The sequence below is a fragment of the Homo sapiens genome, chromosome 4, assembly GCF_000001405.40.
Source record: "Homo sapiens chromosome 4, GRCh38.p14 Primary Assembly".
NCBI classification, from domain to species: domain Eukaryota; kingdom Metazoa; phylum Chordata; class Mammalia; order Primates; family Hominidae; genus Homo; species Homo sapiens.
Window position 1 is genome coordinate 98,991,780 of NC_000004.12, and position 21,132 is coordinate 99,012,911.

A 21,132-nucleotide genomic window follows, 5' to 3' on the forward strand; every position below is an offset into this window, starting at 1 on the left:
TTACACTGAGATATGTAAAAATATGGCAAACTATATAAAGAACAAAAGACAGTGAAAACTCTTAACGCAGCAATTCCACTTTTAAGACTGTATCTGAAGACCTCCTCGCCTCATGCCTGCATGCAGGCTGCATGCCTGCTCATCCCAGTACTTTGGGAGGCCAAGGTGGGAGGATGGCTTGAGATCAGGAGTTCGAGACCAGCCTGGGCAACATAGGGAGACCCTGTTGCTATTAAAAAAAAAAAAAAAAAAAAAAAATATATATATATATATATATATATATCTCCTAAGTAAATAAGGATGTATGTAAAGTTTTAGCTAAACGGATATTCACTGAAACCTTGTTTATAATAGATAACAATTTAAAATAACCTAAATGTCCATTATTAGTGGATTTGGTTCAGTAAATTACCCATACGATAGAATATTATGCAGACATTAAAATTATGTGGTAAAAGTATAATTGATGACAATAAAGAATGTTGTGTGCAGTGGCTTGTGCCAGTAATCCCAGCACTTTGGGAGGCGGGGGTGACAGGACCACTTCAGCCCAGAAGTTCAAGACCAGCCTGGACAACATAGTGAGACCCCTGTCTCCACAAAAAAGCTAAAAAATTAGCTGGGCAAGGTGGCGTGTACCTGTAGTCCTAACTAGTCCAGAGGCTGAGGCAGGAACATCACTTGAGCTCAGGATGTTGAGGCTGCAGTGAGCTGTTGTGTCCGGAATTGGTGGGTTCTTGGTCTCACTGACTTCAAGAATGAAGCCATGGACCCTCACCGTGAGTGTTACAGTTCTTAAAGGCATCGTGCCTGGAGTTTGTTCCTTCTGATGTTCAGATGTGTTCAGAGTTTCTTCCTTCTGGTGGGTTCCTGGTCTCGCTGGCTCAGGAGTGAAGCTGCAGACCTTCACGGTGAGTGTTACAGCTCTTAAGGCGGCACTTCTGGAGTTGCTTGTTCTCCCGGGTGGGTTGGTGGTCTCGATGGCTTCAGGAATGAAGCTGCAGACCTTCATGGTGAGTCTTACACCTCATAAATGCAGTGTGGACCCAAAGAGTGAGCAGTAGCAAGACTTATAGCAAAGAGTGAAAGAACAAAGCTTCCACGGTGCAGAAAGTAACCCCCATGGGTTCCCACTGCTAGCTTGGGCAGCCTGCTTTTATTCCCTTAACTGGCCCCACCCACATCCTGCTGATTGGTCCATTTTACAGAGAGCTGATTGGTCCATTTTGACAGGTTGCTGATTGGTGCGTGTACAAACCTTGAACTAGACACAAAAGTTCTCCAAGTTCCCACTAGATTAGCTAGACACAGAGCACTGATTGGTGCATTTACAAACCTTGAGCTAGACACATGATGCTTATTGGTGCATTTACAAACCTTGCACTAGATACAGAGTGCTGATTGGTGTATTCACAATCCCTTAGCTAGACATAAAGATTCTCCAAGTCCCCACCAGATTAGCTAGATACAGAGTGTGGATTGGTGCATCCACAAACCCTGAGCTAGACACAGGGTGCTGATTGGTGTGTTTACAAACCTTGAGCTAGATACGAGTGCTGATTGGTGTATTTACAATCCCTTAGCTAGACATAAAGGTTCTCCAAGTCCCCACTAGACTCAGGAGCCCAGCTGGCTACACCCAGTGGTTCCCGCACTGGGGCCGCAGGTGGAGCTGTCTGCCAGTCCCGAGCTGTAAGCCCACACTCCTGAGCCCTTGGGTGGTCCATGGGACCGGGTGCCCTGGAGCAGGGGGTGGCCCTCGTGGGGAGGCTTGGGCCACGTGGGCAGGAGCCCACGGTGGGGCCGGGGGAGGCTCAGGCATGGCGGGCTGCAGGTCCTGAGCCCTGCCCCGTGGGGAGGCAGGTAAGCCCCGGCAAGAAATCCAGCACAGCACTGGTGGGCCGGCACTGCTGGGGGACCCGGCGCACCCTCCGCAGCTGCTGGCCCAGGTGCTAAGCCCCTCACTGCCCGAGGCCGGCGGGGCCGGCCGGCCGCTCTGAGTGCGGGCCGCCAAGCCCACGCCCACCTGGAACTCTAGCTGGCCCGCAAGCGACGCACGCAGCCGCAGTTGCCACCCGTGCCTCTGCCACCACACCTACCACAAGCTGAGGGAACCGTCTCTGGCCTCGGCCAGCCCAGAGAAGGGCTCCCACGGTGCAGCGGCGGCTGAAGGGCTCCTCAAGCACGGCCAGAATGGGAGCTGAGGCCAGGAGGCACCGAGAGCAAGCAAGGGCTGCGAGGGCTGCCAGCATGCTGTCACCTCGCTGTCACCTCTCACTGTGAGCACCACTGCACTCCAGCCTGGTTGACAGGATGAGATGCTGTCTCAAAGAAAAACCAAACGACAAACAAAAAGTTGACATCATAGTAACTGAAGAAATCAGGTAAGTAAATTACTTTATATGGTATGGTGCAGTTTTTATTTAAAAAATATTTTATACATACATACATACTTATTGATTTTTTTCTTGTATACAAAAGTATATGTATGTATGCATGTAAACATTTCTATTACTTGATTTTATTACATCATTTTTACTGCTTATATTGCAAAACTAAGTTTTTTTTTTTTTGAGACATGGTCTTGCTCTGCCGTTTGGGCTGGAGTGCAGTGGCAGGATCATAGCTTACCATATCCTTGACTTCTCAGGTTCAACAGATCCTCCCAGCTCAGCCTCCTCAGTAGCTGGGACTACAGGCGCCTGCCACCATGCCCGGCTAATTTTTTAGTTTTTAGTTTTAGTTTTTGTAGAGACGGGGTTTTGCCATATTTCCACCCTGGTCTCGAACTCCTGGCCTCAAAGAATCCGCTGGCCTTGGTGCCCTGGATGCCCTGGCCTCTCAAAGTGCTGGGATTGATTACAGGCGTCAGCCACCGCTCCTAGCCAAAACAAAGTTCTTAAAAATAAAAGTAGTATGAGCTTTTCTGGTGTATTAAGTACGGAGAAGTTAAAAAAATACAATAACAAAGTTCACAGCCTTTTGTGATCAGTAAATGTTAGTTTTTCGCTCTTCCCTAGTGACAAGGAGGCACTCAAGCATGAGTTACAACACAACCGACCTGGAATACAGCTGAAAAGATTGAAGCAACAGGTTCGCAGGGGAAGGCCTTTACAGCTTCTTTCGACTCTGACATTTCAGGATCAGCACAATTCTCCCCTATTTACTGCTGAAGCAATCAACTGGGATTATACAAAAAAATTATTTGTATTGAATACCTGACAGTTGTGTTACTATTACTAGCACTATCGGTTTTGAAGGGGAGGTGGTGGTGTGTGGAAAAAAAAAGTCTGGCAGGAGGGAGGGCAGATGTGAATCCCAGCCCACCGTCCCGTTGACAGCTCTATGGCTCTCCTTTCTGTGAATGAGCGGTGGTCCTTAGGCCTCAGACCCGACAATGTCAGTGAGAAACAGAACTTAACCCAAGGGACTGTTCTCCAAGGAGCGGCGGGGGAATCCAACGCAGAGGAGCGCAGCGCCCTCTCTAGCCTCCTGCGGGTGTCGGGGATGATCAGGGCTCCTGGGTGTTCGTCAGTGAAGACGACTGTCTTATCTGACTGTAGGCACAGAGAGTGCGCCGCGAGAGGGCGGCTCCTCACCGTCAGGCGCCGGCAGGTCGCGTTCTCTGCTGGCCGACGCCCGAAGGCGCCGAATGGGGGGGCCCTGCCGAGCTCCCTTACAGCCCCAATGTGCGCGCCGCCGGGAGGCTTGGGCACGCAGGCACCGCCGGCGGGGGGCGGGGCGAAGCCGGCGGGGCGGGGCACCAGCTGCGCGCGCGGGGCGGGGGCGGGGCCGGGGCGGGGCGCGCTGCGTGGTCCCGGCCGGCCCTGGCTCCTCCCCCTCCCGCGCCCAGGCCAGCGGCGGGCCCAGCTCCTCCCCCGACTCGGTCTCTCTCCCCTCCCCTCCGCCCGGCAGTTCCTCCCTCCCGCCGCCGCCTCTTCCTCGGTGAGGCGCTCTTCCAGCGGGCAGGCAGCATGGCGGCCGTGGAGACGCGGGTGTGCGAGACAGACGGCTGCAGCAGTGAGGCCAAGCTCCAGTGTCCCACTTGCATCAAGCTGGGCATCCAGGGCTCGTACTTCTGCTCGCAGGTAGGCGCCCGCTGCCCCGCGGATATGCCGCCGCTGCGGGACCCCTCCTCGCTTCTCCCCTGCTGGCTCCTCCCGCCCTTGCGGCGAGTCGGGACGCGCTCCTCCTCTTCCCCCCGGCCGCGTTTCCTCCTCCCCCCACCCGCGTCGCCACCGCCCCCTCCTGCCTCCTGGGGTCCCTGGGTCCTCGGGAACCGCGCTGGGCTCACGCGGGGGCGGGGGCGCCACCCGCCGCGGCCATGTGGGCTGGGGCGGAAGCGGGCTGTGCGGGGTCGCGTGGCCGCGCTAGACCTCCGCGTTCTGGGGCCGGTTCCCCGCGCTGGGGCGGGGGCCGCCAGGTGTGCGGGCTGCCGGAGGCAGGTAGCGGCGCCGGGAAGGAGGGCAGCCCGAGCGTCGCGAGCCTCCACATCCGCAGCACCGGCGGGGCTCGGGTCTGGGCGCTGGAGGCGCCGGGCCGTCCGTCGGGTCCCTGCGGGGTGGGGGGCTGAAGCTACCTGCCGGGCTCTGAGAGATGGGTGGCCCGAGGACCGTCGGAGTCGCAGAGAGGAGGAACGCTAGCTAGCTCCAGCCCCACTTCTTTGTGCTTTACTACCGTGCTTTGACACTTAAGCAACTTTGGGGGTGGGGAAGGGAGAGGTCTGTGTAATTCATTCTTTTCTTTCGGTATATAAAATTATTAATTTACAAAACTGTAAGCTAACGGGATGAGTCACCTGTGACTGAATTTCCCAGAGTGAAAAGGACAGTTCCATTGAGGGTTAGGCGTGAATGCTGTAGTGTATTTTAAGTTTTGTGCAGTAGAGCAAACCCAGCGTTGAATGGGGTCCAGACTGAAGCGTGTGCTCGTGTTTCTGTTTACTGAAGAGTACTAGTGTTGCTGCTGCATTTCGAGACCCAGGATGAGGGCTGGGCGGCAATAGTATGGCTCTTAGTTACAGTCCAGGTTTAGTGAAGAGAGGCACATGAATATTCAAATATTAAATTGGTAGCGTCCTGTGGGGAGGAGAGCCGGAATAAAGAGAAGGCCTGATTGGGGCCCTGCCCTTGCCAGTTATTGTGCGATCTTGAATTAGTAAAGTTACTTAATCTTTCTGAGTTCCAGTGTTACACTGTACAGAGGGGATGATTATAGCTTTCTTTGTAAGTTTCACAAGCTTCTTCTGAGACCCAGATTATCCAAGGAACGTGAAATGCTGTTATAATGTAAAGTCCTTTATTTTTTAAAGGATTCTAGTACGATTTAACTCTGCCATAAATAAAAATATGAATAAGAATGAAGGCAGATATATGAACACAATACAAATAATAAAAGTGTTTTCCAACATAAAACATAAAAACGTAAAGATATAAATAAATACAATCTTTACGTCACAATATTTGTAGATAAGCGATTGCAAAAGGTCTTAGCTGTGTTATACAGTCTTGTTTTTAGATAGGATATGATCCTTGACCTTGTTAGTATAATTTGGAAAAACTTGCACGTGGAGGAGTGTTGCTTGATCTAAAAATAGCATTACCGAACAATCTAAAGGACCTGTACTAGGTTTAACATGTTGAGCATTACTCATGTTAGACCTAGTACACGTCCTTTAGATTCTTTAAAATTCCCAAATTCTATCTTGTTGTGGCCTGTGTGGGACCTGAAATTAAGAAACAGTGTTTGCTTTTGACAGTTGTACCATCTGAGTAGAATAACTTTAAAAGTAGGTGGCATTTTGAATTAATATGTATTACAATCTTCTGTTAAGATTTTAAAAAGGTAGTGTGAAACCACATTCATGAAACAGGTAGAAAGAAGGTGAATCACTGGGGTTTGTGGAAAAATGCTAGACAAATTTGTGAAAACAAAACATCTAGGGTTTATTCCGTGTGTTAGGATTGGAGGTATTTACATGTTGGATTCTGCAGGTATATTTCTGGTATCACTGTTAGACATGCACTCAAATATTCCCAGAGTGGCTGTCCCAACTGTCTCTTTTTCTTCATTTCTGTTACCACCTCCTATGGTCAGCTTTTAAAATTTCCCACCAAATCAGTTGTCATACTCTCTTAATTTATTTCTCTACTGTAATTCCTCCCCTTGCAAACAAACGCCCACAAAAAACCCTATCAAACAAAACCTTTTGTACAGAAGTTATTTTTCCCGCAGTCTGATTATGCGTATCCCTCATTGCTTTCAGGATTCCAGCCCCACATTCAGGGCCCCTCTTCTGAGCCTCTTGCTCTAGCCAAAGGCTATGTTTACATTCTTTCCTTTCCGAAGTGTCACCTGTCTTCTGAAATCACAGCTGTTCCCCCAATCCCAGCTTGAGACCTTGATCAAGTCACTGTAACTTATTCTAAGCGCTTTATACATCTGTGATGAAATATGGGCTTGGCTGGGCATGGTGGCTCACACCTGTAATCTCAGCACTTTGGGAGGCCTAGGCGGGTGGATCACCTGAGGTCAGGAGTTTGAGACCAGACTGGGCAACATGTCAAAACCCTGTCTCTACTAAAAATACAAAAATTAGCTGGGCGTGGTGGCACACGCCTGTAGTCCCAGCTACTCAGGAGGCTGAGACACAAGAATCACTTGAACCTGGGTGGTGGAGGTTGCAGTGAGCCGAGGTTGCACCACTGCACTCTATCCTGGGCAACAGAGCAAGACTCCGTCTCAAGAAAAAAACAAAAACAAAACAAAACAAAAAACCAAAAAGAAGAAATTAGGGATTTTCCTTAACACTTCTGTGATCACTAGGAGGTCTTTCTTTCTACTGCTCTGGTCCCTGGCCTGGCTGTCTGGCCAGCTTGTCTTTGGGAACAAACAGAACAAAACTGCAAGAGGCCTTTCTATCACACCATTAACAGAAGTAAGGCATTCCCAGTTACTCTGTCACACCACCTTGTTTATTCCTTTATGACCTTTTGTGCAATCTATGATTACCTCACCTGTTAGAAAAATGAGGATTTTTTTTTTTTTTGAGACGGAGTTTCGCTTTTGTTGCCCAGGCTGGAGTGCAATGGTGCGATCTCGACTCACCGCAACCTCCGCCTCCCAGGTTCAAGCAGTTCTCCTGCCTCAGCCTCGCAAGTAGATGGAATTACAGGCATGCACCACCACGCTCAGCTAATTTTGTATTTTTAGCAGAGATGGGGTTTCTCCATGTTGAGGCTGGTCTCGAACTGCTGACCTCAGGTGATCCACCCTCCTTGGCCTCCCAAAGTGCTGGGATTACAGGCGTGAGCCACCATGCCCGGCCGAGAATGTCTGTTTTTTAGTCGGAAGGTGAACTTCATGAATGATCCTATCTTGTTCACTGCCCTGTTCTCATTTCCCAGTATGATGCTCTGTATGCAGTAGGTGGCCATTAAATGTTTGAATTAATGGATAAATGCATCAAAATAGAGAGGTATACTGCTGTGTTTGAATCACAGCTCCATCATTTACTAGTTATGTGACTTGGGCAAATAACCTCTCTTTTTCAGCTGTATCTTTTTAAAATGGGGCTATTAATAATACCTATCTCAGGGTTTTGATGAAGACTAAATCCAAAGTATGTAAAGCTCTTAGCATATTAGTAAACTTAATGAATGTTAGCTCTTTTTATTGTTATACTGTTTTATGTTTAGGAAAGTAGAAATATTTTATCTAGGATGCTTAATTTTTTTTTTTTTTTTTTTTGAGACCGAGTCTTGCTCTGTCACCCAGGCTGGAGTGCAGTGGTGTGATCTCGGCTCACTGCAACCTCTGCCTCCCGGGTTCAAGCGATTCTGCTGCTTCAGCCTCCCCAGTAGCTGAGATTACAGGTGCGCACCACCACGCCTGGCTAATTTTTTTGTATTTTTAGTAGAGACGGGCTTTCACCGTGTTAGCTAGGATGGTCTGTAACTCCTGACCTCGTGATCCGCCTACCTCAGCCTCCCAAAGTGCTAGGATTACAGGCATGAGCCACTGTGCCAGCCTAGGATGTTTGATTTTAAGGAAAGCTTTTGTTCTTTAGAGGAGTACAACCAGTTTTACTTGAAAATTGAGTTTTCCAAGAGTTCTTGATGTTCGATTGTGTTTATTAATAGAAGTTTTCCTTCCTATTTAATAGTTTATGTATGTCTTTTTCATTTGTGTGTAAGAATTTTTTGAGGACAGAGGGTGTGTTTTACTCATTTTTGTATTTTCCAAAGTGCCTTGCCCACAGTAGGCCCTCATTTCCTTACATGAAAGAAAAGACATCAGTGGGCTTGCAATGGAAAACAAAGAAATTCTGTATTTACATTATCCTTTGTAAACACTGAATAGTATAGTATATTGTTGATACACTCATTTATTTGCTTATGGTTGAATTTAGTTACTTTTCAGTTTTTTAGCTGATGTTTAACTTTGTGAATAGCATAGGGCAGTTGCTGTCTCCTCTGGTTAGAGGATCAGCTGGGAGGGACCTGAGTGATCTGTAACTATTTATATTTATAAGGCATAAAAGGTAGTAAGCATAGTGTAAGTGGAAGGAGACCTGGATTTTGCTCCCATGACCTTGGGTAAGTCCCCTCCTTTGCTTAATGAAGCATCCTCTTCAATGGAGTTGAGCAGAAGGTGACTAAGAGAGCATCCAGGGTGCCTAGTAGAGCATATAGTAAATTTGGGCCTTATTGTGCATATAACCTCATATGTAATGTTATTAAAATCAGTACCAAGGAAGGCTTAAAAATCTTTGAGGGGAAATGTTACTTGTTTATGAACATTTTTGACAAATCCAATAATAGGTTCTTTAAAAGAAGTGGTAGGTAACATGATTAACTGAATCCAGGAAGAAAGTCTTTTTTTTTTTTTTTTTTAAATAACAAGACAGTTTTTCTTCTCTCTCTCTCTTTTTTTTTTTTTGAGTTGGGATCTTACTCTGTCAACCCAAGGTTGAAGTGCAGTGGCGTGATCTTGGTTCACTGCAACCTTCACCTCCCAGGCTCAAGTGATCCTCCTACCTCAGCCTCCCAGGTAGCTGGGAACACCAGTTTGAGCCACCACACCTGGCTAATTTTTTGTGTTTTTGGTAGAGACGGGGTTTCACCGTGTTGCCCAGGCTGGTCTTGAATTTCTGAGTTCCACTTTGCCTCAGCCTCCCAAAGTGTTGTCTATACAGGTGTGAGCCACTGCACCTGGCTGGAAGAAAGTCTTGTTGAGCATCTTGTAGGTTGGAGTTAGAAGGTAGAGAAGGAATTGCCGTTATAACATGCAGTATCTTTGAAATGCAACCCTGCCCTCTGAAACTTTCTCTGTCAGTAACAACATTCCTGCCAGTGCAGGGTGTTTCTGGAATTCATCTTCATTAAAGGAGATATTATCATGTTGTGCGTTTTTATTTATAGGGATTTTCTTTAAATTCCTCATGTCACTTCAGACCACCCTTAAACACTCCTGTAAGTTAGCTGAGTTTAGGTACAAATGCCATAGCTTCTTATAAGCAAAAAGATAGGATGAGGTAAAGAGAAATTATGAGTCTTTTTAAAACAAAACAAAAATAATTTCATAAATTGTTTATTGTAGAAAAATAGAAAATATGTGTGAAGATAATCAATTACCCAGAGATGATTTCTATGAAATTTTGGTGTGTATTCTTAAGAACATATTTGCGTATTTATTCATGTGCACACAGTTGTGTATGTTTTTACAAAAATGGCAACCATAATACATATAATCTTAGAGAATTTTCTCATCCTTAATGTCTTAACCAGTGTTTTGGTAGTGTCATGTCATGGCTACATTTACATGATCCTTTATAAAGACTGTTATGGGTGTACTGTCATTTGTTTATTCACTTATAGTTGAATTTAATTTCTTTTCAATTTTTTACCTTCTGTTTACTCTTCAATAAATATTCCTCGAAAATTTAAATCATTTTGACTTACTCAGGAACGTATAATAATGGTACAGGATTTGGTACATGAACCCAGAATTGAACTATCCTAAGCTAATTCTATATCCTTTTCCAGAACAGTGGTTCTCACAGTGTAGTTAGTGGATTATTGTTGGTTTGAGGGCCTTCTGGTCATCTATGAAGTTTTGGCATGAAATATACCTACATTACAGTAGAATTTGTAAAACAACAACAACAAAAAAACGAGCATCATTTGGTTGGTAGGCAATCAAAAGTTATACCAGTCTTTGAGTTACCTTTTTGGAAATTGAAGTGCTATAGGAAATGTGATCTTATACTGTTCACTTAGTTTGTGGATTGAAATCAAGTTTTAGTCATGGTTTTTTAAGGTGAATCTTTTTCATGTTTAGCATATTTGCAAAATTTTAGTTAAGTTTTAGTAAATTTCATAGGAGTGACAGACATAAGTGCATAGCTAAGCTCATTCCAGCTCTAGATATTCGGAAGAAAAGCAGTGGCACGGTAACTCCTTCTGTAATTGTCTTTGGTATTACTGCAATAGCAAACACTTTTAGATAGATATTAAATAGGCAGAAATACTTTATAAAGCAACCGTTGAGCTTCATTCTGTATCAAATGTTTAATGTAATGGAATATAAATGTAATTACAACCCTTTGTGCTTGATCCTGAACTTCGCCTGACCTCACAGTTTTAACATGAAGCATTCTTTTATTCATGCTTGGGCAGGTAGTGCTCCCAGCTCAACAATTATAAGTCTTTTCCTTTGATTTCCTTGATTGGTATCAGTCTTGTCTCTGGGTTTGAATAAAGAGCAATTCAAAACACTCTGTAAACGAGGCCTGCCTTTCTCATTGTGTGTGCATGTGTGTGTGGGGCACCTTATGGATGAAACTAGGATAGGGACCCCATGGAACTTCTCATGCTTTGTAAGTTGTAAATAAGTTCTCTCCTGTTTTTATCTCCAGTAACCTGACTTATTGCAAGGCTCAGTAAAGATTTCTTCCTGATACACCAGAGCTGTGCCATGTCTGTTGGAAAGCATTTCTAAAAACCCTGTTAAGGCCAGGCGCCGTGGCTTATGCCTGTAATCCCAGCACTTTGGGAGGCTGAGGCGGGCAGATATCTTGCTACGAGATCAGCCTGGTCAACATGGGGAAACCCCGTTTCTACTGAAAATACAAAAATTAGCTGGGTGGTGATGGTGCATGCCTGTAATCCCAGCTACTACTCAGGAGGCTGAGGCACAAGAATCTCTTGAACCTGAGAGGTGGAGTTTCAGTGAGCTGAGATTGCGCCACTGCACTCCAGCCTGGGCAACAGAATAAGACTGTCTCAAAAACAAACAAACAAACAAAAAACAACAAACCAAGAAAAGCCCCTGTTAATTGGGGTCTGCTATCTGCTAATGTGGCATTTATCTGGGTCACAGGCTCAAGCCTTTAAAGAGTGGTTAGGATATAAATGATAAGTGAAATTGTAACTTTAGCAACTTCCCTTATCATTATAAAGTGGGAGGCAACAGAGACTTCTCTGTGTTTTGAATGTGTGTTTAATGATTCTTCTGTGATTTAAGTACAAAACGCAAACCAATCTTTGCATCACATTCTGAAGGTTAACCCTGTCTTATCCAGCAAGTTACAGGCTTAGTCGTTCAATAAAATAGGTAAATGTAAGTTCCGTTAGGTTTTAAAAATGTCATAACTTTTTTTTGTCTTCTGAGTGGGGATTTATGTTATTACTGATTATTTCACTAACTGGTAATAGGGATGGGATTGACTATTAGAATACTGTTAACTTCTCACTCCACTAAACAAATGATAGAGAAAAATGTGAATGTTGTTACATGAATAATTTAATATTGCTTTTGAATTAAAGTTTTAAGGACCATAAAGTCAGGATCTGTCGATGTATGTTTTCTAAATTGTTTTTGATATTGAGTAGAATAAAAATATTAGTAAATGTTTGGGAAAAAAACTCAAACTTTTTTCCCTCTGTTCTCATACCACAACAGTCATCAACACAGATGATTTCTGTAACCAAACCTATGGGGGTTTCTCCTCACCACCAAGCGAGCAATCATTTCTGCAGTGGACACCAACTGGGTGTCCTTTAGTTCATTTCCTACACTGTTTGACTGGATATAGTGTCAGATCCCAGAGATAGAGGGCTTAGTCCTCGAAGCTGCCCCTTTCCCACCCTGTTCAGACACCAGTCACGAGTTTGGGCCTCCGGAACTTAAAACTTGACTGGCTTCAAGTTGGGGTTCTCATGGCTCCCCCTCTTTGGGTTTGGTTAATTTGCTAGAGCAGCTCACAGAACTCAGGAAAATACTTATTTTACTAGTTTATTATAAAGGATATTGCAGAGGATACAGATGAAGAGATGCATAGGGCAAGGTATTGGGGAAGGGATGCCAAGCTTCCATGAGTTCAGTGTTCAGCTAGCTATTTGGAAACTCTCTGAACCCAATCCTCTTGGGTTTTTATGGAATCTTCATTCCTTCAGGGTATATGGGGTGGGACCCTCTCTGGAATGAGAGTCTTATGACCCACATCACAAAGGTGGGGGTTAGACACTTGCCTTCAGGTAGGGTGAAAGGAAGAGAGCAGGAGAAGGTTGGAGAGAGTCTGTTTCCTGAGGCCTAAAGCACCCAACACTATAACGAGACTGCAACAAGGCTAGGGGAGTTATTAGCCAAGGAACTGTGGACAGATACACACACACACACACACACACACACACACACACACATACACACACACACACACACACACACACACAAAATAACACAGCAAATCATCCACGGGATCTAAAGAAGCATGATACAGTAAATGCCTATATACCTACCATCTAACTTATTAAAAAGAACATTACCAGGAAAACAAGTGAAAACAGAAGGCTCCTTTTTCTTTGTCCCTCATCCAAGAGGTATTCCATATCCTGAATTTTGTGTTTATCATTCATTTGCATTTCCATGTTTGATTTCTTAAAAAATGTATTTTTAATGTTTTTGAAATTTTTTTTACCAACAAAATGATTACATGTATTCTTTTACAACATGCGTTTTTTTGTTTGTCATTATGTTCCTGAGATTTATCCATGTTTCATTGTAGCTCTGGTTCATTTTCATTGTTTTCACTGCTATGTGATATTCCAATAAATTAATATATCATAACTTTTACATTCTTCTGTCAATGGAAATTTGGGTTGTTACGGTTTTTCTATTATAAATAGTCCTCCTCTAGACATTCTTGTGCCTGATTCTTGGTGCCTGTTTGTAAAAATTTCTCTTGGGTATACCCCTAAGGAGTAAATTTTTTGGGTCATAGGATATGTGTTTAGCTTTACTTTGATGATACCAGATTGTTTTCCAAAGTGGTTGTACTTCAAAATAAATAATTGGGACATAATTAAAGTAAAAAGCTTCTGCACAGCAAAAATAATAATAATAATCACAGTAAACAGACAACCTGTAGGGAGAAAATATTTGCAAACTATGCATCTGACAAAGGACTAATACCCAGAATCTACAAGGAACTCAAACAAATCAGCAAGAAAAAAAAATCAAATAATCTCATCAAAAAGTGGGCAAATGACCTAAATAGAATTTTCTCAAAAGAAGATATGGCCAACAAACATATGAAAAAATGCTCAATGTCACTAATCATCAGGGAAATGCAAATTAAAACCACAATGAGATACCACCTTACTCCAGCCAGAATGGCCATTACTAAAAAGTCAAAGAACAATAGATGTTGGCATGGATGTGATGAAAAGGGAATACTTAAACACTGCTGGTGGGAATGTAATTTAGTACAACCACTGTAGAAACCACTGGGTATCTATCCAAAGGAAGAGAAGTCATTATATAAAAAGACACCTGTATATGTATGTTTATCGCAGCACATTTCACAATTGCAAAGATAGGGAACCAACCTAAGTGTCAGCTGATGAGTGGATAAAGCAAATTTGATATATATACATCATGAAATACTCCCCAGCCATTAAAAAAAGAATGAAATAATATCTTTTGCAGCAACGTGGAAGGAACCAGAGGCTGTTATTCTAAGTGAAGTAACTCTGGAATGGAAAACCAAGTACCAGGTCGTCTCGCTTACAAGTAGGAGCTAAGCTGTGGGTACTCAAAGACATTCGGAGTGGTATAATGGACTTTGGAGACTCAGAAAGGGGGAGGGCTGGCTGAGGGTGAGGGATAAGAAACTACATATTTAGTACAATGTACATACTAGGATGACTGCACTAAAATCTCAGACTTTAGCATTAAACAAAAAACAAAAATGGTGGTACTTATAGAGAGTTTATGTTGTTTCATATGCTAGCTAGGACTTGTTGTTAACAGACTTTTTATTTTTGCCAGTCTGGAGTTGTGTATTACTCATGAACAGCAGTGTTCACTGGGCTATTTGCATCAGTACACTTGCAAAAATTTAAAAGGGTTTAACTGTCTTCAAGGGGCTTATGCTATTCTTGTATAGACAAGAAGTACTGGAAAAAAGATAAATAACAGGGAAGTGCTAGTGAATGTTATAGACAAGGAACTATGTTTTCCTTGAATTTTTTATAATTTTACTGAGTTTCTCTAGCTTTTTACTGTGACAAATTTCAAACAAATAGAAAAGTTTAAAGAAGAATATAGTATAATTGCAGTATACTCTTCACCTAAGTTAACATTTTGCTGTATTTGTTTTATTTATGTGTGCTTGTATGTGTATTGGGTGTGTGTGTATATGTGTATTTGTTGAAATATTTTGGGAATAAGACACAGAAAACACGACACTGAATCTATTAAATATTCAGCAAACATTTTCTAATGACAAGGGCATTCTTAACTATAATACTATTATTACACCTAAGAAGATTAACAAGAATTCTCTGATTTCATCTAATAGGCCAATCTTACTTAAATTTCTCAATTATCTCCCAAATGTCATCCATAAAAGCTTTTTTGTTTGTTTTGCTTTTTGATTATAGACTCAGGAACCTATCAAAGCTCACATATAGCATTTGGCTGTCATGTCTCTTAATTTAGAATAGTCCTCATCTTATTTTCATGATACTAGCTTCTTGAAGAGGCTAGTCAGTTGTCTTGTAGAATGTTACACATTTTTGATTAACTGTTTCCTCAAAGTGTCTTTAAGTTGTTCTTTTGTCCCCTGTAGTTTCTGTAAGCCAGAAATCAAGCCCAACTGCTGTTAGATTTGTGAAACACTTTTTTTTTTTTTTTGAGACGGTCTCATTCTGTTGCCCAGGCTACAGTGCAGTGGTGTGATCATGGCTCACTACAGCCTCAACCTCCTGAGCTCAAGTGATGCTCCCGCCTTGGCCTCCTGAGTAGCTGGGACCATAGGCATGCCACCATGCCTGGCTAATTTTTGTACTTTTTGTAGAGATGGAGATCTCCCTATGTTGCCCGGGCTGCTGTCTCACTCCTGGGCTCAAGTGATCTGCTTGCCTCGGCCTCCCAAAGTACTGGGATTACAGGTGTGAGCCACTGCACCTGACCGTGAAACGCTGTTGACAAGACTCATAGGTGATGTTATCCACTTCACATTTCATCACATCAGGAGGCACAGAGTGGCTGGTGGTTCTGTTCCTAGCAGATCACCATTGATTGCACAGGTACTTTTTTTTAACCTCACAATTGGCATTTAATCTGTGGGATGATATTCTGGCACTTGGAGAGTATGCATTTTCTCAACAATCTTTCTCTGAGTGGTTTTAGCATTGCGATGATCCTTACCTGATAATTATTTCAGTGGAGGTTGCAAATGGTGATTTTCTCCCTAAGTCTGTCATTCAATAGCTGATCTTTTTTTTTTTTTCTGTAAGGTAGAGTTTTCCCTCATCAACTGGTAAATGAACTACGTTCCACCATTCCTACCAAGAAGATAGAAATGGTTGTGTACTGGGCACTAACCAGTAGTTGCAAATGTTTGTTGTTTTCAATTAGGAGCTTTGGATTGTTTTCTTTTTCATGTTCAAATTGTCTCAAATTTGATTAGTGTTATCACCTTTAAAGTGGCTTCTATATCCTTTTGAGTCTCCTCCATTACTCTCTGATTGCTTCCTAGCTCTCTGGCATATGATAAAACACATTCCCTAATACTTTCCCAGCCCCAGATCTGCAATCAGTCTTGTTTCTAAGCAGCCCTGGTTTCTGGCAGGAATGTTTTTAGAAATCTACATCTGAGTGCTAGGTATGCTTCCTCCTGTAATGTCCTTGCCTTTAGAAGAAGGGGTAGTGACATCTTCAAGGAATATTGCTCATGTGGAGGACACAGATAAAACAGCTAAAGAACAGTTTTTAAAAGCAGCACACTAAGTAGCTGAACAATGTACTAGGTAAAGACAGGCTTTGAAACGCCTCATGAAGGAGTTAAGAACTGAATTTTGATAAATAGGTGTGAAAATCAAATAGAGGAGTAGGTAAATAAAATGGTATATATTAAGGTGAAGGAGAGGACATTCTCTGCAGGGAAAGGATGTGTTTATGGAAGTAGGAGCAAGCTGAGGCATGTAGGTAATAGCAAGTAGATTAGCAGCTTTACTTTAAGGAAGAGTCCAAGTACAGAAATATAAGGAAATGAAATGATCGTTAGTAGGGATAGAGACCTTGCTGTTCAGTTGAATATTTTTTTCCAAAATGTAAATATTTCCTGTTAAATATATTGTTATAAAAAGGAGTACATGATCTTTGCAGAAATTTAAAACAGAAGTGTGTTAGGTGAAAACTATCATAATTCTAGCATCCTAAAACCAAAGCATTGTTTGGTTTCTTATCTTTCCAGATTTTTACATATGTACTATATACAGGTTAAGAACATGGATGCTGTCTTAAGAGGGCCTGCATTCAAAACTTGGACTTGTCATTAATTACCCCTGTGTTTTTTGGACATGTTAATCTGTGCCTCAGCTTTCTCATCTGTAAAATGAGATATCTGTGATAATAGTACCTATGTCTTGGTAGTGGTGTGAGGATTAATTCTCTGCCTAATCAGTGCTTGGTATGTAGTAAAATCTCAAATGTTAGCTGCTGTTTTTTATCTTTCAAAATAAAATAGAATTGTTGCTCTGCATTATATACACCTATACAGTTTTGTAATTTACCATTTTTTACATATCTTTAAAAAATTTGTTATAAAAAACATTTAATTTTACTGTCTTAATTATTTTTATGTGTATAGTTCAGTAGTGTTAAGCATATTTATGTTGTGAAACAGATCTCTAGAACGTTTTCATTTTGCAGAACTGAACTCCATAGCCCTATAACAGCAACTCTCCTTTGTCCTGTTTCCCAAACCCCTGGTAACTACTATTCTACTTTCTGTAGGAATTTGACTACTTTAGACATTTCATATAAGTCAGATTACACAATATTTGTTCTTTTGTGACTGGCTGATTTCACTTAATGCCCTGAAAGTTCCTTCATGTTGTACCCGTCACAGGATTTCCTTTGTAAGGCTGCATAGTATTTCATTTTATGTGTACCGCATGTTGTGTTTATCCATTCTTCTCTTGATGGACATTTGGGTTGTCTCTACCTCTTGGTTATTGTAAATAGTGCTTATGAACACGAGCGTGCAAATATTTCCTTGAGACCCTGCTTTCAGTTCTTTTGGATCTATACTCAGAAGTGGGATTGCTGGATCACACGATTATTTGTTTTTAGTTTTTTGAGGAGCAGTCATTCTGTTTTCTATAGTAGTTGGATTGTTCTACAATTCCAACACAATGTACAAGGGTTCTGATTTCTCCATATCCCCACCAACATTTGTTCTTTTCTGTTTTGTTTTTTTCATAGTAGTCATCCTAATGGGTATGAGCTGATACTTCATAGAGATTTTGATTTGCACTTTTCTGATGATTAGTGATGTTGAGCACGTTTCATATGCCTGTTGGCTAGTATATATCATCTTTGGAGAAATGTCTGCTTAAGTCTTTTGCCCATTTTAAAAATTGGGTTAATTCATTTTTTGATATTATGTTGTAAGAGTCTTAAAATATAATCTAGATGTCAACCCATTACCAGGTATGTTATTTGCAAATCTTTTCTCCTATTCCATAGGTTACCTTTTACTCTGTTGATTGTGTCCTTTGATGAACAAAAGTTTTTTAAGTTTGAGTAGTCTCATCTGTCTGTTTTTGCTTTAATTGCCTGTGCTTTTGGTGTTATCTCCAAACAATCATTGCCTAGTCCATTGTCACAAAGTATTTCCCCATTTCCCTTATGTTTTCATCTAGGAGTTTTATAGTTTTGGGTCTCATGTTCAGGTCTTTAATCTCTTTTGAGTTAATTTTTATATATGGTTAAGATAAGGGCACAACTTTATTCTTTGGCATTTGGATCCAGTTTTCCCAACAGTGTTTATTGAAGAGACTATTCTTTGCCTGTTGGCACCCTTGTCAAAAATCATCTGAGGCCAGGTGTGGTGCCTCACACCTGTAATCCCTGCACTTTGGGAGGCTGAAACTGGAGGATTGCTTGAGCCCAGGAATTCGAAACCAGTTTGGGCAAGATGGTGAAACCCTTTCTCTACAAAGAATACAAAAATTAGCCAGGCGTGTTGGCATGCGCCTGTAGTGCCAACTACTTGGGAGGCTGAGGCAGGAGGACCCCTTGAGCCCTAAAGAGTTTGAGGTGGCAGTGAGCTATGATTGTGCCACTGCACTCCAGCTTAGGTGACGAGGTGAGACCCCATCTTTAAAAAACAAAAACCTCCCAAAAAACACACATGACCAAATACACAAGGATTTATTTCTGGATTCTGTTCCATTTGTCTGTGTATCTGTTTTTATGCCAGTATTACACCATTTTCATTACTGTAGCTCTGGTATGTTTTGATATCAGGAAGTGTGAGTCTTCCAAATTTGCTCTTTTTCAGAATTGTTTTGGCTATTTGGGTCCCTTGAGATTTCATATGAATTTTAGAATTTTTTTCAATTTCTGCAAAATATGCCATTGGGATTTGGTGAGGATTGCATTGAATCTGTAAACTGCTTTGGGTAATATTGATATCTTAACCTTATCGTTTTCAGATACATGAACATGGGATGTCTCTCTATTTGTGTTGCCTTTACTTGCTTTTGGCAACGTGTTGTAGTTTGCATTATACAAGTCTTTTAACCTCCTTAGTTTAGGTTTATTTCTAGGTATTTTATTTTTAATGGAAATTTATTTTTAAATGGAATTGTTCCTTAATTTATCTTAAAATTATTCATTGTTAGTGTATAGAAATGCAACTGATTTTTATGTTGATTATCCTGCAACTTTAGTTTATTAGCTCTAACAGTTTTTTTTTTAATGAAATCTTTAAGGTTTTCTACATGTATAAGATCATGTCATCTGTGAACAGAGATAATTTTACTTCTTCCTTTTTAATTTGGATGCCTTTTATTTCTTTTTCTTGCCTAATTGCTCTGGCTAGGACTTCCAATACAATGTTGAATAGAAGTGATGAGAGCTGGCATCTTTATCTTGTTCCTGGACTCAGATGAAAAGCTTTCTGTCTTTCACCATTGAGTTTGATGTTAGTTATGGGCGTCTTATATATGAGCTTTGTTATGTTGAGGTAATTTTCATGTATTCCTAGTTTGTTGAGTGTCTTTATTTTGAAGGAGTATCAGATCTTGTCAGATGGTTTTTCTGAATCAATTGAGATGATTATGTGATTTTTATCCTTCATTCTGTTAATGTGATGTATTAAATTGATTTTTGTTTTTGAATATTCTTGCATTCCTGGAATAAATTCCACTTGGTCATGGTGTATAGTCCTTTCAGTGTGCTATTGAATTTATTTGTTAGTGTTTTGTTCAAGATTTTGCATCAATATTTATAAGGGATACTGGTCTTTAGTCTTTATCTGGCTTTGGTATAAGGGTAATGGTGGTTTCAAAGTATGAGCTTGGGCTGGGCGTGGTGGCTGATGCCTGTAATCCCAGCACTTTGGGAGGCTGAGGCAGGCGGATCACCTGAGGTTGGGAGTTCGAGACCACCCTGACCAACATGGAGAAATGCCATCTCTACTAAAAATACAAAATTAGCCAGGCGTGGTGGCATATGCCTGTAATCCCAGCTACTCGAGAGGCTGAGGCAGGAGAATTGCTTGAACCTAGGAGGCGGAGGTTGCGGTGAGCAGAGATCGCTCCATTTCACTCCAGCCTGGGCAACAAGAGTGAAACTCCATCTCAAAAAACAAAACAAAACAAAACAAAACAAAATGAGCTTGGAAGTTTTCTCTCCTCCTTTTTAGTTATTGAGTCTTATCTCTTTTCTTCGGTAGTCTAGCTAAGGGTTGGCCACTTTCTTTTCATTGTTTTTATTTTTTTGGGTAAAGATGGGGTCTTGCTGTGTTGTCCAGGCCGGTCTTGCATTCCTGGCCTCAGGCAGTCCTTCCCACCTCAGTCTTCCTTATTGCCTATTAATTTCTAATATTTATTATTTCCTTCTGTTAGCCTTAGGTTTTATCTTTTCTTCTTTTTCTAGTTCTTGAGGTAAAAGTCGGGTTGTTAATGTGAGTTTTTTTTTTTTTTTTTTCAAGACAGTGTCTCGCTCTGTCACCCAGGCTGGAGTGAGGTGGCACAATCTTGGCTTACTGCAACCTTTGCCTCCTGGATTCAAGTGATTCTCTTGCCTCAGCCTCTCGAGTAGCTGCACTGACTTACAGGTGCCTGCCACCACGCCCGGCTAATTTTTGTATTTTTAGTAGAGACAGGGTTTCACCATGTTGGCCAGGCTAGTCTCGAACTGCTGACGTCAGGTGATCTGCCCCGCTTGGCCTCCCAAAGTGCTGGGATTACAGGCATGAGCCACCACACCCGGCCGAGGTGTTTCTTTTTTAGTGTATATGTTTACAGCTGTAGACTTTCCTTTTAAAACATCTTTGGCTGTATCCCATAAAGTTTTTTTTTTTTTTTTTTTTTTTTTTAAAGATTTAAAGAGGTTTATTCTGAGCCAAATAAGAGCGACCAAGGTCTGTGACACAGCCTCAGGAGTTCTTGAAAACATGTACCCAAGGTGGTTGGGTTACAGCTTGATTTTATACATTTTAGGGGGACAGAAGTTACAGGCAGACATTAATCTGTACATGTAAGGTGTGCACTAGTTTGGTCCGCAAAGGTGGGACAACTTGAAGTGGGGTCTTCCAGGTCATAGGTGGGT

At 42.0% G+C, this 21,132-nt stretch overlaps 1 protein-coding gene and 1 non-coding gene across 4 annotated transcripts in view, besides 5 other annotated features; both read left to right on the plus strand.

The window, feature by feature from the left end:
* Nucleotides 3,384–3,433: an enhancer, noted in NCBI's record as "active region_21736". NCBI's record gives its function as "activates an Ori minimal core promoter by ATAC-STARR-seq in GM12878 lymphoblastoid cells {active_cell/tissue: GM12878}" and the evidence as "EXISTENCE:reporter gene assay evidence [ECO:0000049][PMID:35858748]".
* Nucleotides 3,674–3,993: a silencer, noted in NCBI's record as "silent region_15580". NCBI's record gives its function as "represses an Ori minimal core promoter by ATAC-STARR-seq in GM12878 lymphoblastoid cells {active_cell/tissue: GM12878}" and the evidence as "EXISTENCE:reporter gene assay evidence [ECO:0000049][PMID:35858748]".
* Nucleotides 3,942–21,132, plus strand: part of METAP1 (methionyl aminopeptidase 1) — a 67,089-nt gene continuing 49,898 nt past the window's right edge. For all 3 annotated transcript variants that reach the window (NM_015143.3, XM_017007914.3, XM_011531779.3), the window contains exon 1: nt 3,942–4,088. In NM_015143.3, the coding sequence (NP_055958.2) occupies nt 3,975–4,088 (114 nt within the window). In that variant the 5' untranslated portion in view covers nt 3,942–3,974. The remainder of the gene's footprint in view (nt 4,089–21,132) is intronic.
* Nucleotides 4,154–4,613: a silencer, noted in NCBI's record as "silent region_15581". NCBI's record gives its function as "represses an Ori minimal core promoter by ATAC-STARR-seq in GM12878 lymphoblastoid cells {active_cell/tissue: GM12878}" and the evidence as "EXISTENCE:reporter gene assay evidence [ECO:0000049][PMID:35858748]".
* Nucleotides 4,154–5,137: a biological region, named in NCBI's record as "H3K27ac hESC enhancer GRCh37_chr4:99917285-99918067".
* Nucleotides 4,355–5,137: an enhancer, noted in NCBI's record as "H3K27ac hESC enhancer chr4:99917285-99918067 (GRCh37/hg19 assembly coordinates)". NCBI's record gives its function as "activates a minimal SCP1, AML or CMV promoter by ChIP-STARR-seq in primed H9 embryonic stem cells {active_cell/tissue: H9 hESC(primed)}" and the evidence as "EXISTENCE:reporter gene assay evidence [ECO:0000049][PMID:30033119]".
* Nucleotides 5,608–5,681, plus strand: MIR3684 (microRNA 3684). The gene has a single exon (NR_037455.1). It is a non-coding gene; the product is annotated as a microRNA 3684 (primary transcript).